Source organism: Homo sapiens, chromosome 10 (assembly GCF_000001405.40).
Source record: "Homo sapiens chromosome 10, GRCh38.p14 Primary Assembly".
NCBI lineage: Eukaryota > Metazoa > Chordata > Mammalia > Primates > Hominidae > Homo > Homo sapiens.
The window spans coordinates 5,860,003-5,877,306 of record NC_000010.11 but is presented as its reverse complement, the minus strand read 5'-3'; the positions used below and the strand labels follow the sequence as shown (position 1 = coordinate 5,877,306).

Sequence of the window (17,304 nt, the reverse complement as noted above, 5' to 3'; positions counted from 1 at the left end):
ACCTCATCTCTACTAAAAATACAAAAATTAGCCAGCTGTGCTGGTGCATGCCTGTAGTCCCAGCTACCAGTGAGGCTGAGGCCCGAGAATTGCCTGAACCCAGGAGGCAGAGGTTGCAGTGAGCTGAGATAGCGCCACTGCACTCCAGCCTGGGCGACAGAGCATGACTCCGTCTCAAAAAAAAAAAGAAAAAAAGAAAATGTAACTAAGATATTTACAAAACTTCTGTTAACCTGAGTTTAAGAATGGGGTTTTGTCTTTAAAACCCATTTTTCTGGCCTGTCCCATCCACCCACGGAAGCCTGTGACTTAAGGAATGAAACACTTGACATTTAGCTTTAAAAAATATTATAGCCTCTTAAACGGAGTAAAGATAGGATGAGTCCTCAGGCATTTAGATTCTTTTTCTACTTTTTTTTCCTTTTCTTTCTTTTCCTTTTTTGATCCTTCTCTCTGAATTGCAAAGAATAATTATTAGTCTAGATCAGGCTTTTTAATCATTGTATGCATCAGTCACAAGCAACATTGAATCCTCTTATTCAGTGTGATCCAGTAAGTGCTTATTACACACCCACCTTACTCTCAGCGTTGGGCTCGGTTTGGCACAGAGCAAGAATTTCCCGTTCGTCTTAATTATTCCCAGATGGCATCAGCGGATTCCTGTTTCTAACCACCAAATCAGTGTTCTGGTAGAAACACTCCTGTCTTGTGACCTCTAAATTACACACTCTCCATCTGCACTGATTTGAGATGTAGTTACCACTTTTCTGTTCCTCCAGAGATGCCTGCGTCAATGCCCTCTAGGTCTGAAGATGGTCCTGTTGTGCGGCTATTTCACGTGTACAGGTGGGACTGAAAGATCAGTCTGGGACTGCCCTCTTTCCCCTCAGCACACACATGAGCAGCTTTGTGTTTGCAGCAGCTGCGTGCACGATCAGCTTCCACTTGGCTTTGCTTCTGCCCTTACAAACCAGCTGATGATGATGACACAGCATGTTACACTGTTGTCCCCGGTTTTCCTAGATTCCACGCACCTTTGTAATAGAAACCGTGGTTACTGGATGCCACTGCTGAAACTACTAAACACCCAGAGATGGCAGTGATTATAAGAACATTAATCGTGGGCTGGGCGCGGTGGCTCATGCCTGTAATCCCAACACTTTGGGAGGCTGAGGTGGGTGGATCACCTGAGGTCAGGAGTTCAAGACCTGCCTGGCCAACATGGTGAAACCCAGTTTCTTCTAAAAATACAACAATTAGCCCGGCGTGGTGGCATGCGCCTGTAATCCCAGCTACTTGGGAGGCTGAGGCAGGAGAATCGCTTTAACTCCGGAGGCGGAGGTTGCAGTGAGCCGAGATCGTGCCACTGTACTCCAGCCTGGGTGACAGAGCAAGACTCCATCTCAAAACAAAACAAAACAAAAAAATTAGCCTGGCATGGTGGCAGGCGCCTGTAATCCCAGTTACTTGAGAGGCTAAGGCAGGAGAATCGCTTGAATCTGGGAGGCAGAGGTTGCAGTGAGCCGAGATTGCACTACTGCACTCCAGCCTGGGTGACAGAATGAGACTCTGTCTCAAAAAAAAAAAAAAAAAGAACATTAATTGCAGCAAAGAGAGTAGCAATAATAGAATAATAACCAGATGTTTCCATAACAATAATATATGAAGAATGCTCTGGCAATGATAACTAATATTTTTCTATTACTCCCTAATTATAGTTACTTTACTCACCTCCTTTGGGTCTTTACCTACAAGCCACCTTCTCAGCGAGGCCTGCCCAGGCCACCCTATCTAAAATTGTGTCCTTTTCTTCAACATTTGATATCTTCTTTCCCCAGTTTATTTTTTCTTCTTAGCATTTGCTATTAGCAAATGTACCATATAATTTATTTATTTTGTTGATTGTTTTTCTCCCCGACTGGTATGCAGGCTCCTTGGACTGATTTTTGTCATTTAAATTTAAAATTATTATATAGTTAATGAATGGGCGATAAAAGCCCTTTATGTGCATTGAGCACTTAGTAAATGCGAGATAGTGTGCTAAGCCCTTACCTAGATTGTCTCATTTTGTCCTCTGACTCTTGCACCCTGCAGCCCCTTCTCATTATTATTCCCTCTGGAGCATCTTTTCCCATACACACTTTCATGAAGAGTCTCTACTTGATACCCTCAGCTCATAGGCACCTCCCACCCCCCGCAGTCTGGCGTCGTTGTTGCTGCTCTGTGCAGACTCTTCCTTTCAGATACCAGTGACGTCCTGCTTGCCATTTCAAGTGATGTACTTTTAGCCCTTAGATTACTGACCCTTTCAGTTCACTTACTGATCACTACCCCTTCTGGACTGTTGCCACATGCAATAATGCACTCCTGGGTTTTTCTTTCTGCCTTTTCCTTCTCTGCCTCTGCACTCCTCTGTCAGGCTGGCCCTCCGTGCTCATGCGTACCAGCTTCTGTCTCCAGCATCTCCGTCATTCTGGATTTTCTCCTGAAGCGTTGTCGTCCATGCCTCGGGTTTCAGCTACACCCTAATGTCAGTAACACTCAGATCTCTCTCTAGCCCTTACTTTCCACTGCCTGCTTACGTTTCTGCATGGATGTTCTGAGGCCATCTCACATTCAGTTTATTCAAAACCCAGCCTTCCCCACAACCCACTGACATACAGGCCTGCATTCCTGCCTTGGTTGGTGGCATCACAGCTCACCCAACCTGTGTTGGAAAGCTGGGGGTCAGTCATGACTCCTCCCTCTTAAGGAGTCCCTGCAGAGGACAGCTGCTGGGCGGCTCTCTAATCTGCCTGTTCCACACCATCCCTACTGCGACTCCTGCCCAAGCTCTCTCACTCTCCTCCTAGAGAGTGGCAGCCATGTCTTAAATACACCTCTCCAAGTCCTCAAATCCACCCTCCACATGGCTGCCAGGGCGTTCTCACTAATGTGACCAAGGGCATTGATTGCCAATTGTGGCTTAACCTGCCTCCCAGAGCACGTACTACACTTGCCAGGATTTCTGATTGCCTTAACTAACACCCACTTCCACCAGGGCTGTCAGCTTGTCCTAAAAGCACACCCGCTCCCATGGTGAGTGTGTGTTACTAAGCTCAATCAAAGCAGAAGTCTCGCCCAGGCACGATGGCTTACACCTGTAGTCCCAGTATTATGGGAGGCTGAGGCAGGCAGATCACAAGGTCAGGAGATCGAGACCATCCTGGCCAACATGGTGAAATCCCGTCTTTACTAAAAATACAAAAATTAGCCAGGCGTGGTGGCACCCGCCTGTAATCCCAGCTACTTGGGAGGCTGAGGCAGGAGAATCACTGGAACCCGGGAGTTGGAGGTTGCAGTGAACCAAGATCACCACTGCACTCCAGCCTGGCAACAGAGCGAGACGCCGTCTCAAAAAAAAAAAGCAGAAGTCGCTGAAAAGAGATGCAAAGAGGTAAAAATTGTAATGACCTGAAAATAGCGAGGACCTAACATATATTACCAAAAAAACTTACACGAGAAAATACACAAGACAAGAGGGAAAGGATCACAAAATGGAAACGAGATGGCAAAAGTCAGGCTAAAGAAGCTGGAGGGAACTATAGGGAGGGTGCTCAGACAGTGAGAAGAGGGAGGAGCAAGCACTGAATTTAATTTAACCCAGGACGTTGCTAGAATCCACCAGCAGGTGGCAGACCAGAAAAATGTCCCTTTTAATCTCCCAGACTTTTGTTTGTAAGGCCTATTGTAAAATACAGAAGATAGTAAAGGAGAAAACAAAAATAATCTATAGTTCCACCACCCAGATGGAACCACTCTTATTTTCCCTTAGTCTTTAAAAATGCATATAGGGCTGAGCACGGTGGCCCCTACCTATAATCCCAGCACTTTGGGAGGCCGAGGCGGGCAGATCACTTGAGGTCAGGAGTTCAAGACTAGCCTGGCTAATATGGTGAAACCCCATCTCTGCTAAACATACAAAAATTGTCCAGGCGTGCTGGGGACGGTGGCTCATGCCTGTTATCCCAGCACTTTGGGAGGCCGAGGCGGGCGGATCATGATGTCTGGAGATCGAGACCATCCTGGCTAACACAGTGAAACCCTGTCTGTACTAAAAATACAAAAAAGTTAGCTGGGCATGGTGGCATGCGACTGTAGTTCCAGCTGCTTGGGAGGCTGAGGCAGGAGAATTGCTTAAACCCGGGAGGCGGAGGTTGCAGTGAGCTGAGATCATGTCACTGCACTCCAGCCTGGGCGACAGAGCAAGACTCTGTCTCAGAAAAAAAAAAAAAAAAAGATTAGCCAGGTGTGGTGGGGCACACCTGTAGTCCCAGCTGCTTGGAAGGCTGAGGCATAGAATCGCTTGAACCCAGGAGGCAGAGGCTGCAGTGAGCCGAGATCACACCACTGCACTCCAGCCTGGGTGACAGAGTGAGACTCCCTCTCAAGAAATAAAAAATAAAATGCAGGGCCGGGCGCGGTGGCTCACGCCTGTAATGCCAGCACTTTGGGAGGCCAAGGGGGGCAGATCACGAGGTCAGGAAATTAAGACCATCTTGGCTAACACGGTGAAATCCCGTCTCTACTAAAAATACAAAAAATTAGCCGGGTGTGGTGGCGGGCGCCTGTAGTCCTAGCTACTCGAGAGGCTGAGGCAGGAGTATGGCGTGAATCCAGGAGGTGGAGCTTGCAGTGAGCTGAGATCGCGCCACTGCACTCCAGCCTGGGCAACAGAGTGAGATTCCATCTCAAAAAAAATACCTACATAAAAAATAAATAAAATGCATACGGTTGAGCTGATGCTGCACGTGCAGTTTTTCCCTTAACTTTGTTTATTTATTTATTTTGGAGACAGTCTTGCTGTGTCACCCAGGCCGGGGTATAGTGGCGTAATCTCGGCTCACTGCAGCCTGCACCTCCTGGGTTCAAGCAATTCTCATACCTCAGCCTCCTGAGTAGCTGGGATTACAGGCGCCCTCCACCATGCCTGGCTAATTTTTGTATTTTTAGTAGAGACAGGGTTTCACCATGTTGGCCAGGCTGGTCTCAAACTCCTGACCTCGAGTGATGCGCCCGCCTCAGCCTCCCAAAGTGCTAGGTTTACAGGTGTGAGCCACCACACTTGGCCCTCTAACTTTATTTTACAAGCAAATCCTAATGCTCTTTAAAACTTTGTGAATGTCGTGTTTCATGGCCGTCTTATGCTCCATCGTATTACTGTCCATATTGAGTCTTGTGTGTTGCCTCTTTCATTGGTTTCCGTTTTTTTAAGATGTAGACAGAGTAATCTCTGTCAAATTCAACTGGAGGCAAGGGCGGCAGGTTGGGGACAGAAACGGCTGTTGGATTTGATCACTGGAGGTTGGGCCATGCGAGTGGGTGGGAGATATGGGCTGCACAGGGGCCTGAGCAACTCTCTGCACCCTTGGCTGCATTGTGTGGTGAAGGAAAGGAAAGAAGAAAGCAGTTTGACAGGACAGTAGTTTTCTCCGAGAGGGTGAGTGAGGGGATGAGCATGTGGCATGTTTACAGACTGGGAAAGGAGCCCACAGAGGGAGGAAGCCAGCGGTGAGGGAGTGAGGGCTCTGTGGGATAAGGCTCTTCGGAAGGTGTGGGAAGTAGGCTTAGAAGCCCTTGGGGAGCTCAGCTCCAGATGCAGAAGGAGAGTTTCCTTCTCAGAGGCATGAAGGAAAGAAGAAGGGCAAGAAGGAAGAAAAGTTCAGGGCAGAGCCCACGTGGGCGCCTCATTCAATGCCAGTATCTAGGAGGGTGGGGGATTTGTGGAGCACATTTATTACGTTTCCTACAAGAATGGATAATAATGTGGACTTACATTTGGCAGTTTTTACACTTTTTTAAATTACACTCTTTCAGTTGGAAAGAGTGATGTGGTGTGATATTTATTTATTTATTTATTTATTTATTTATTTATTTATTTGAGTTGGAGTCTAGCTCTGTCGCCCAGGCTAGAGTGCAATGGCTCAATCTCGGCTCACAGCAACCTCTGCCTCCCGGGTTCAAGCGATTCTCCTGCCTCAGCCTCCTGAGTAGCTGGGATTACAGGCGTGCGCCTCCACACCTGGCTAATTTTTCTATTTTTAGTAGAGACAGGGTTTCTCCATGTTGGTCAGGCTGGTCTCGAACTCCCAACCTCAGGTGATCCGCCCACCTTGGCCTCCCAAAGTGCTGGGATTACAGGCGTGAACCACCAAGCCTGGCTGCGTGACATGATTTTTACTGAGAAGGAAACAAGATGGGAGTGAGGGCTGGCCTCTGCCAATCGTGGTGACGACAGGGACTTGATTGGCCTGTGTGATTAACCCACCCTGCAGCATTTGCAGAACCTGCCTCCTCCTACCATGCTGAAAATGTGATTGACTTGATACTGAGGACAGGCCTGGGCGCTCCTGGGAAAGCACGGGGAGTGGATGCATTTATCGGCCCATGCTCTGTGCAGCTTCTGGCCTGAGCACAGCAACAGGAGGGTTCTGCAGGCATTTCAACCAACATGACACCTCTCCTGGCTTCACCACAGGTGAACCAGGTCTCTTGTTACTCTTCCTACTCTGGAAGGCCCAAAGCATCCTGAAGGGGAGTGACACCCTGGGGGTAATTGAAACAACATTTTAAAAATAGCAATGGCCAGGCACGTGGCTCACGCCTGTAATCCCAACACTTTGGGAGGCCAAGGCGGGCAGATGGCTTGAGACCAGCCTGGACAACATGGTGAGACCCTGCCTCTACAAAAAATACAAAAAATTAGCTGGGCGTGGTGTGCCTGTAGTCCCAGCTACCAAGGAAGCTGAGGTGGGAGAATTCCTTGAGCCCAGGAGGTCAAGGCTGCAGTGAGCTATGATTGCACTTTTGTATTCCAGCCTGGGTGACAGAGCAAAACCCTGTTTCAAAAAAAAAAAAAAAAAGCAGTAGGGAGGGAATGAGGACTGGCTGGTGCCCGGGCAGAGTCGCAGGGAAGAGAGGCCAAGAGCCAACGCTGACCTCACTGTGCGGGTGCACTGGGGGCCCCTGCGAAGCTGACCTCACTGCGCAGGTGCACTGGGGGCCTCCGTGAAGGGGTCGGTGAGGAGCTGGACAAAGATCAGAGCAGGTTTGAGAGAGAATGGGAAGGCAGAACCTGGAGCTTGCAAATGAAGCAGTGGAGAGGGATGTGGATCGATGTTTTGGTTTTTTTAATGGAGCAGATTACAGTTTACAGATTGCTGAGAGAATGGTCCAACAGAAAGTGAGGAGGAGGAATGAGTCTAATGTCTGTACGAAGCAACTAGAGTCTTGTTAAAATGCAGATTCCTTCAAACCTAGGGATCCTGAAAAAAAGAAAAATGCAGATTCTCAGAGGGAGAGAGTCCAGGGGTGCGGGGGCCAGTCAAAAAAACTACCTACTGGATACCATGCTAAGTGATGCGATCCTTACTGCAGACCTCAGCATCACGCGATATACCCAGGTAACAAACCTGCACATGTACCCCCTGTATTTAAAATAAAAGTTGAAATTAGAAACTATTAAAGATGCAGATTCCCACCCACCCACCCCTCCCCCCAGCAACCCCCAGCTGCTTCCAGCTAGTTCCCAGGGGCGGCCATAGCTGCTGCATTGAGTAGCTTCTTGTGCATGAGGAGAAATACTCGCGTTCACCCTGCCGGTTCCTCCCCAGCCTCAAGAGGGAAAGCTGAGCAGAAGGGTGCTGAGCAGGAGCTGGGGCCCTTGGTGCTGGGAAACACCAAGCTGTCTTCTAGGTGCTTCGACTTCTCAGTGAAATAGGAAAGCAGGTGATCAGCTGAGAGTGAGGATGTGGTATGGGAGGTCTGACGAGTTAGGGAAGGGTGAAATAGTCCATTAGGGGAGCAAAGGCCTGGGCAGTGCTTCTCAGGCCCCCACCTTGCTGGACACAGGTGGCTGGGCAGCCCCAGAGAGCTGGGCCTGTAGGTCCAGGGTGGACTCTAGGAATTTGCATTTCCTTTGTTCTTTTCCTTTTTGTAATGGTTTTACTGAGGTATAATTGGTACACAAAGCTGCACATCCTTGATATATACAGTTTGATTAATTCAGACATATTTGTGCTCCCAGGAAACTATCACCACGGCCAAGGCAATAAACACATCCCTCGCCTCCAAAAGCAGGGTATCTAATCTTTTGTCTCCCTTGGGCCACATTGGAAGAAGAATGATTGTCTTGGGCCACACATAAACTACACTATCACTAAAGATAGCTGATGAGCTTTAAAAAAAAAAATCGCAAAACATCTCAATGTTTTAAGAAAATTTACAAATTTGTGTTGGGCCACATTCAAAGCCACCTGGGCCACAGGTTGGACAAACTTGTCCAAAAGTTTCTTCCCGCACCTTTGCTTTCTTTGTCTTTTTGTGGTATTGTGTCCAGAATTTATTCCTTCTGGTGGGTTCTTGGTCTTGCTGACTTCAAGAATGAAGCCACAGACCTTGCGGTGAGTGTTATGATCTTAAAGATGGTACATTCAGAGTTGTTTGTTCCTCCTGGTGGGTTCGTGGTCTTGCTGACTTAAGGAATGAAGCCGCAGACCCTCGCAGTGAATGTTACAGCTCTTAAGGGTGGCGTGGGCCCAAAGAGTGAGTAGCAGCAAGATTTGTTATGAAGAGCAAAAGAACAAAGCTTCCACAGCGTGGAAGGGGACCCGAGTGGGTTGCCGCTGCTGGCTGGGGGTGGCCAGCTTTTATTCCCTTACTTGTCCCCACCCACATCCTGCTGATTGGTCCATTTTACAGAGTGCTGATTGGTGTGTTTACAATCCTTTAGCTAGACACAGAGCGCTGATTGGTGCATTTTTATAGAGTGCTGATTGGTGCATTTACAGTCCTTTAGCTAGACAGAAAAGTTCTCCAAGTCCCCACTTGATCCAGGAAATCCAGCTGGCTTCACCTCTCAACCCACCCTCTAAACGGAACACCCCAACTGCTACTGGGAATTGGGTGATGACCATTCTAGCTACTTCCTGCTGGATAGGGGCAAAGAAGGGTCCCTGCAGTTGTAGTGTCCTCTAGAGGGGAACTCTTTAGGCCAGTCAAAGGGCCAGCAGTTTGGTCCAGGGGTCCTCAGTAGAAGTTAGTTGAGCTCATTTGGGGTTCCATTTGTAAGACCATCTGTAGCTTGATGGCCTCGATCCTAGAGGAAACAAATTTGACAAAGAGGTTAAAAATACAGGGCCCAAAGGTGAGTAATAGCAAGATGGATGTCACGGGACCTAGAAAGGGGAGAAGTCATGTCACCCAACTCCAGAGGTTGGTATAAGAGTTTGAAAGGCGTTGTCTGATTTCAGAAGCCTTTTCCTGTAAACGCCAGGCGGCATCTCGTACTATCCCTGCCTGGTTAGTGTAAAAGCAACACTCTTCCCCTAAGAAGGTGCAAAGTCCTCCTTTCTCAGCAGTGAGGAGGTCCAAGCCTCGGCAGTTTTGGAGAGTCGCTGCTGCCAAAGAGTCTATTTGGGATCGTAGTTACTATCCTTACTGGATAGATTTTGTTATTTCTTGCAAGCTGTCTGAGAAATCCTTTGAGAGTGTGTGGTAGTAGGATAATGAAGTAGATAAACTGGCTATTCCGGTTCCTGTAGCAGTGGCCATTCCTAACCCTATAAGTAGGGGTATTAGTGGATGGCTCTGCACTGATGGACTTGAGCTTTGAGGGGCGCTGATAGGGTCTGATTTCCATAAGATTAGAGGTTAGGATAATACATGTTACACTGTTAAATTTTAGCAAACTTTACTTTTGTTGAAAACCTTATAAGTTTGGGATTTTAATTTTTCTTTGCTATTAATAAAACCTCGTTCAGTCCATATTATCTTAGAAATGGTATAGATGGCTTCTTCCTGATTCTGTAAGTACTTTAAAGTTTGGCTGAGTGCCAATAGCTCGCAGGTTTGAGCAGACCAATTATTAGGCAATTTTCCTAACTCTGTTTCTTCAAGAGTTTCCTTATCACTTACTGAATACCCATTGTGTCTTTTTTCCTTAATCTCCGGGGAGGAACCATCTATGGTCCTGTCCTGAAGGAGTTCCTCCTAGGTCTGGTTGGACCTTTGTATGGTAATTAGTTAAGAGTTAGATCCCCTGTTAGGAAACCTGCTGGGTTAAGGATTTTTGATAGGAAGGCTATGGGTTGTCAGTGGCCTCAGTACTTTCAGGCTACGCCCTTGCTTACACTGATAACAAGGTGGTATTGGAGTGTTATAGGGTAACAGAGAAGACCTTCAATTATCAATTATAGGTTTTAAATTTACCCTGGCTTTTAAAGGAATAGGGTACACTGTTTTTTCTTTACTATTTCCATCTCTCTTTCTTTCTCTTTGACTTCTTCTTTGTCTTTCTCTCTCCTTCTGACTCCCTCTTTGTCTCTCCCTCTCTTTCTTTGACTTTCTGTTTCTCTCTCTCTGACTCTTCTTTGTCTGTCTCTTCCTCTCTCTCCTTCTCTCTTTGACTTTCAGCCTCTCTGTCTCTTCCTCTCTCTGTCTCCCTCTTTGACTCCTTTGTCTCTGTCTCTTCCTCTCTTTCTCTCTGTCTGTCTCTTTCTCTCCTTCCTTTCTGCTGGTCTTTCCCTGCCTCTGCCAGCCACTTACGCTGCTGTTCTCCCCTCTCCTTCCCCTTTTTGATGGCTTCGGCGGTGTAAGACTGCCACCTCCTTGGGTTTTTGCACTGCGTGCAATAACTCCATGATTTCCTTGTGATATTTAATGTGGTTCCCCAGAGGTTAGGAACCCCCTTTCTTTCCATATTGCAGCATGGGCATGTAGGATTAGATAAGCATACTTGCTATCTGTATACACATTTATTCTCCTTTCCTTTCCCAGTTCTAAGGCTCGGGTAAGTGCCACTAGTTCTGCTAACTGGGCACTGGTCCCTGGGGAAGAGACTTACTTTCAAGTACTGTTACATCACTAACAATGGCATAACCTGCCCTTCGTATCCAATTCTCCACCACAAATGAACTTTCATCAGTATATAGATTAAGGTCAGGATTAACTAAGGGGACTTCTAAGAATTCATCTCGGGCAGCATAAGTCTGGACTATAACTTGTTGGCAGTCATGCTCGATCGGTTCCCCATCCTCTGGGAGAAAAGTGGCAGGGTTGAGGGCCGCACACGTATGTATTTGAAGCACTGGTCCCTCAAGGAGTAGTGCCTGGTATCTAGGTAGGCGGTTGTCTGATAGCCATAACTTCCTTTGGCACCTATTATGCCATTTACATCATGAGTAGTCCAGACAGTGAGATCCTTTCCTTGTATTATTTTGATAGCCTCTAACACTGAGACGGCCACCGCTGCAACTACCCATAAACAGTGAGGCCAGCCTTTTGCTACTATATCAGTTTCCTTACTTAGGTATGCCACTGGTTGTGGGGTTGTCCCATGAGTCTGAGTAAGGACCCCAAGAGCTATTTCTGCTCTCTCTGTGATGTATAAAGAGAAGTTTTGTCCTGTGGGAAGGCTTAAGGCTGGAGCTTGAGTTTGTTCCTTCCAATGCCCAGACTTCAGGGTTGATTCCCTCCTCAAGCAGGGGACAACAAATCAGTAACTCGTTCCCCATATTCATGTAGATAATAGCTCCAGCTTTGGCTAATATGTCCCTCCCTAATAAGGGTGTGGAACTTTCAGGCATAACAAGAAAGTCATGTGAAAAGAGCAAAGCATCCGAATTACAACTGAGGAGGTGGGAGAAATACCTGGTTATAGGCTGTCCCAGGATTCCTTGGATGGTAACAGACCTTGAGGACAGCTGTCTGGGACAGGAGATTAACACTGAGCCTCAGATGGTAACAGACCTCAAGGACAGCTGTCTGGGACAGGAGATTAACACTGAGAAAGCCATGCCACTGTCCAGGAGGAAGTCGATTTCCTGGCCCTCAATAGTTAAACATACCTGGGGCTCAGTGAGGGTGATGACATGAGCTGGCGCTTGCCCTGGGCACCCTCGGTCCTGTTGTTGGATCATCTGGTTGGGGGCTTCTGGCCCAGAGAACCTTTGTCCTCTGGGGCAGTGCACCTTCCAGTGATTGCCTCGGCATAGTGGACATGGGCGAGGGGGCAGCTTGTTTCTTGTTGGACAGTCTTTTTTAAGGTGTCCTTGCAAACCACACTGGTAACAAGCCCTACCAGGTGATTGGCCTGCTCCATTTTCTGTGCTCTCTGAACCACCAAGGTTGGTTTGTCTGAGGGCCATGACTAAGGCTGCAGCCTTTCTCTGATCTAACGTTTCCTTTTCAGCCTGTTCCTCTTGGTCCTTATCATAGAACACAGAGGTTGCCAGGTTTAATAATGCCTCCAGATTTTGTTCAGGGCCCAGGGCTCGCTTTTGGAGCTCTCTCCTGATATCTGTGGCTGATTGGATAATAAACTTACCTTTTAGGATCAATTGACCCTCGAGTGAGTCGGGCGACAGGGGAGTATATTTTCTTAAGGCCTCCCGTAGCCGCTCGAGGAAGGCAGAAGGATTTTCTTCCTTTCCCTGAGTTATGGTGGACATCATCAAATAATTCACAGGCTTTTTCCTAATTCTCCTTTGTCCTTCTAGAACACAGATCAGCAGATGTTTACAACTCCAGTACCCATGGTCTGAGTTGAGGTCCCACTGGAGATCCATAATGGGGACGGCTTGCTGACCAGTAGGGAATTTGTCCCTTTCTTCGGCTGTCATTCTGTCATTTACTTGACTAAGATTCCAGGTATCTCCAAACTCTCGGGCTGCAGCTAAAGCCGCATTCTTTTCATTAAAGGCCAGGGTGTGATCTAGCAATAGCATGACATCTCTCCAGGTGAGATTGAAGGTTTGCCCTGGACCCTGTGGGACATCTATATACCTATCAGGATATATCTGAAAACTTACCCAGGTCTACCTTGATCTGCTTTAAATCAGAGAAGGAGAAGGGGACATGTACCCGGGTTGGGCCAAATTCCCCTCCCCATACAGCTTGAAAAGGACATAACCGATAGCAGGGGTGGGGGGGAGGTTGTGGTCCCTTGGAGATTTCTTTGCTTGTTTCCTTCTGGGCAGGGGAGGTTAGAGGAGGCTTATCATTAATAGGAAGGGGCTATAGGGAGGCTAGGATCTGGGGGTAAGCTGAGAAGTCCTCCTGTGGGATGTAAGTTGTAAGCTTTGCATAGTTGTGGATTCTCCTTAAAAGAAAGCTTGGACATAAGGTATTTCACTCCATTTGCCTTCTCCCTTACAGAAAAGGTCAAGCTGCAGGATAGTATTGTAATTTATACTTCCCTCAGGTGGCCATTTTTCCCCATCAGAGAGAGAATATTGGGGCCAGGCTGTAGTGCAGAAAAAAATGAGCCACCTCTTTTTCAGGGTTTGTGGGTCAAACTGGTCCCAATGGCTTAGATGCATTTCAAGGGTGAGCCTGTTGATGCCTGAGTGTTTCCCATCTGGGTCGCCAAAATGTATCCGGACTTTATTCCTTCTGGTGCGTTCTTGGTCTCACTGACTTCAACAATGAAGCCGTGGACCTCGCAGTGAGTGTTACAGTCTTAAAGATGGTGCATCCAGAGTTGTTTGTTCTTCCCAGTGGGTTTGTGGTCTTGCTGACTTCAGGAATGAAGCCGCAGACCCTCACGGTGAGTGTTATGGCTCTTAAAGTTGGTGTGGACCCAAAGAATGAGCAGCAGCAAGATTTATTATGAAGAACAAAAGAACAAAGCTTCCACAGTGTGGAAGGGGACCCAAGTGGGTTGCTGCTGCTGGCAGGGGGTGGCCAGCTTTTATTCTCTTATTTGTCCCCGCCCACGTCCTGCTGATTGGTCCATTTTACAGAGTGCTGATTGGTCCACTTTACAGCGTGCTGATTGGTATGTTTACAATCCTTTAGCTAGACACAGAGCGCTGATTGGTACATTTTTACAGAGTGCTGATTGGTGCATTTACAATCCTTTAGCTACACAGAAAAGTTCTCCAAGTCCCCATTTGACCCAGGAAGTCCAGCTGGCTTCACCTCTCAGTATGAACCTTTAATATGAGCTCTGCCCTCTAACTTTGTGAGCGTACAGCACAGTAACATTCACCTCAGGCCCAGTGCTGCCCACCCATCTGGAGGACTGATTCTTCTGGCACAGGGGAAACTTGATCTGAATTGAGAGCAGCTCCCCCTTCCCTCTCCTGTGGGATCTGCATGTCTCCCAAGTTCCACAGTAATGCTGGTGTGGACACTGCGTTGGGGAGGCCTCGTGTTGAAAGCCCATGGAGTCAGGGACGTGGCAGGATCACTGGCTGTATAGCAGCAGCTGAGGGTCCCTGTCCTGCAGTTTTCTCCACCACAGTCAGCTGCTCCGGGACAGTAGGTGGAAAGTCAGAATTCACTAAGATGGGGACTTTTCCAGGCAAACAGAGCAGAAGGGTCATTTAGCACAGTGTCTGGTACAGGGGAAATGCCCAAAACACACAGCTTGTTACTATCTAGCGCCAGCCTCCCCTTCCCTTCTCCCTTCCAACTGCGCATGGGACTCTCCCTCTCTGACTGTGCAGCATGTAGAGCCAGGCCCTGTAGCCAGCAGCCCTGAGTCCAGCTGTGGGACCTTGTGCTAGCTGCTTGCCCTCTCTGAGCTTCTGTTTCATCTGTAAACTGAGATGATAATAACTCTTTCTTCACAGAGTTGCTGGGAGCCTGAGCACCTTTCGTTTTTCGGCTCAGAGAAAGCCAAGTGCAACTTGCTTCAGTCATCCTGAACCTGAGTTCAACCAACCGCAGCCACCTACGTTTGACCCCAGCGAGATCAAAGTTGTATATCTGAGGTGTACCAGTGGTGAAGTCAGTGCCACATCTGCACTGGCCCCCAAGGTCAGCTCCCTGGGTCTGTCTCCAAAAATGGTTGCTGATGACATCACCAACCATTGACTGGAAGAGTCTGAGGATGATAGTGAAACTGACCAGCCACAGCAGACAGGCCCAGATTGAGGTGGTGCCTTCTGCCTCTGCCCTGATCGTCACAACCCTCAGGAACCACCGACAGAAAGAAAGAAACACAAAAACATGAAACACAGTGGTAGCACCACTTCTGATGAGATTGTCAACATTGCCTAACAGATGCAGCAGCAGTCTTTAGCCAGAGAACTCTCTGGAACCATTAAAGAATTCCTGGGGGCCGGTTGCGGTGGCTCATGCCTGTAATCCCAGCACTTTGGGAGGCCGAGGCGGGAGGATCATGAGGTCAGGAGATCGAGACCATCCTGGCTAACGTGGTGAAACCCCGTCTCTTACTAAAAATACAAAAAAATTAGCCAGGCATGGTGGTGGGCGCCTGTAGTCCCAGCTACTCAGGAGGCTGAGGCAGGAGAATGCTGTGAACCCTGGAGGCAGAGCTTGCAGTGAGCCGAATATGCGCCACTGCACTCCAGCCTGGGCAACAGAGCAAGACTCCGTCTCCAAAAAAAAAAAAAAAAAAAAAGAATTCCTGGGGCCTGCCCAGTCTGTGAGCTGCCATGTTGATAGTATCACAGATGATACCAACAGTGAAGCTGTGGAATGCCCAGCTAGTTAAAGAATGCAAAGGAAAATATTTTCACAAAGGGTTATCTGATAACCAAAAAAAAAAAAGACATTTCATCTAAGCCACTTAACACCGTGTCTGATGTGTAGTAAATAATAAATGTCAATGATTCTCAAAGAACCCAGGAATAGAAAAAGCATTTAATAAAAATTAGCTCTTGGCATAATCTCTTCATCCACACCCAGCAGAGTCGTCAGATGTCTTCCAGGTTCACAAGAATTAATTTCTCCGCCCCTGTTCCTGCTTTGCACTTTGTAGCAATTATCCCATGGTTCGCCTTATGTTAGAACTATTTATATAAGTGGTAGTCAAGGCCACTGAGTCATGCATCCCTGGAGGTCAGTTACTATTTCTTTTTATGAGTCAGAGTCACTCTGCCGCCCAGGCTGGAGTGCAGTGGTACGATCTCGGCTCACTGCAACCTCCGCCCCCTGGGTTCAAGTGATTTTTCTGCCTCAGCCTCCCAAGTAGCTGGGATTACAGGCTCCCACCACCGTGCGCGGCTAATTTTTGTATTTTTAGTAGAGACAGGGTTTCATCATGTTGGCCAGGCTGGTCTCAAACTCCTGACCTCAGGTGATCCAACCGTCTCAGCCTCCCAAAGTGCTGGGATTACAGGCGTGAGCCACCGCACCCCGCCTGGGTCAGTTACTGTATCTTACGCACCTTACAAACCCCAGAAGGCTGCACACAGCTCCTGCACATGGTATGCCTTCAAGGAATTACCCATGGATTTGAATAAGGTTATATATGATGTAACACTCATGCGCTTTATTTCATTTTTAATGAGTTTATATTCTAAAATATTTGCTTCTGGGGAAAAATAATTCAGACAGTACAAATAAAGATTATTCCAAATAGGATCATATAACACTCTTGCAACTTTAAACTGAGTGCATTGTTTCTCATTAGTTCTTTTTGTTTTGTTATTTTCATTTTCTCATTAGTTCTTAAAGATCTACCTCATTCTTTTTAACTTTGCATAATGTTGCATTCTTTCTGACATTCCATCTTTCAGATGTGCCACAATTTGTCTAAGCTGTTCCCTATTTCTGGACATTTTAGGACATTCTGGGGTTGTTTAAGTTATTATAAACAGCAGTGCCGGACACATCTTTGTGTCCTTATGGGAATGACTGGAAGATAAATTCCTAGAAGCGGATCAAAGGATCTGTCCATTTTTTTAGGTTGCCAACTGTATCAGCTACAGTTCAGTTAGCAGAGACTAGCGTTCATTGGAGCCAGCTTATGCAGAAGATTTGTTACGGGGTCCTGATGGTATGCAGAATTGTCAGGAAGGCTCGAGAACAAATCTCGTTGAACTTTCAGGGACGATATCAAGGGCTGTACTTCAGACCTAGGCCTCAAAAAGAAGTGCCTTTTCAATCAGGAAAATCTTTGCCAGTATAGGAAGCTGCTGCCTTCGCTTCCAACTCCAGAAGCTTGCTGTCTTCATCTGCTACAGTCGAGAGGCCAAATGATCAGAAAACACTCCACAGAAAATCACTTGCAGCCTTTGCCAGTGGAAGCAGAAATACGGCTTTCGCTTCTGCTTTCCGAAACTCAAGCAATTAGCAGAATCCAACTCACATCTCAAAATCTGGACCTAGGGGAGCCTGGGGCATGTAGCTGGTAACTTCCCTGTGTCTGCAGTGTGGGGCTCACATGCCCAGGAGGCTGGGATGGGTCTTGAGCACCACAGACATCGCTTTTGCCAAGATTCCTTCCCAGGCATACCCATCACCAAAGCTGTGTGGTATCGCACTTTTTTTTTTTTTTTGAGACGGCGTCTC

General features: G+C 47.4%; 1 protein-coding gene and 1 pseudogene across 1 annotated transcript in view, besides 3 other annotated features; both read left to right on the top strand.

Moving 5' to 3' along the window:
* The window catches only part of ANKRD16 (ankyrin repeat domain 16), a 28,278-nt gene extending 12,587 nt beyond the window's left edge, over positions 1 to 15,691 (top strand). The window contains exon 8 of the mRNA NM_019046.3: positions 14,616 to 15,691. The gene's annotated coding sequence lies outside the window, so the exon portion shown is untranslated. The remainder of the gene's footprint in view (positions 1 to 14,615) is intronic.
* Positions 14,121 to 14,250: an enhancer, noted in NCBI's record as "active region_2943". NCBI's record gives its function as "activates an Ori minimal core promoter by ATAC-STARR-seq in GM12878 lymphoblastoid cells {active_cell/tissue: GM12878}" and the evidence as "EXISTENCE:reporter gene assay evidence [ECO:0000049][PMID:35858748]".
* Positions 14,451 to 14,520: an enhancer, noted in NCBI's record as "active region_2942". NCBI's record gives its function as "activates an Ori minimal core promoter by ATAC-STARR-seq in GM12878 lymphoblastoid cells {active_cell/tissue: GM12878}" and the evidence as "EXISTENCE:reporter gene assay evidence [ECO:0000049][PMID:35858748]".
* RPL12P28 (ribosomal protein L12 pseudogene 28) lies at positions 14,636 to 15,109 on the top strand (annotated as a pseudogene).
* Positions 14,821 to 14,870: an enhancer, noted in NCBI's record as "active region_2941". NCBI's record gives its function as "activates an Ori minimal core promoter by ATAC-STARR-seq in GM12878 lymphoblastoid cells {active_cell/tissue: GM12878}" and the evidence as "EXISTENCE:reporter gene assay evidence [ECO:0000049][PMID:35858748]".
* Positions 15,692 to 17,304: the final 1,613 nt, after the last annotated feature.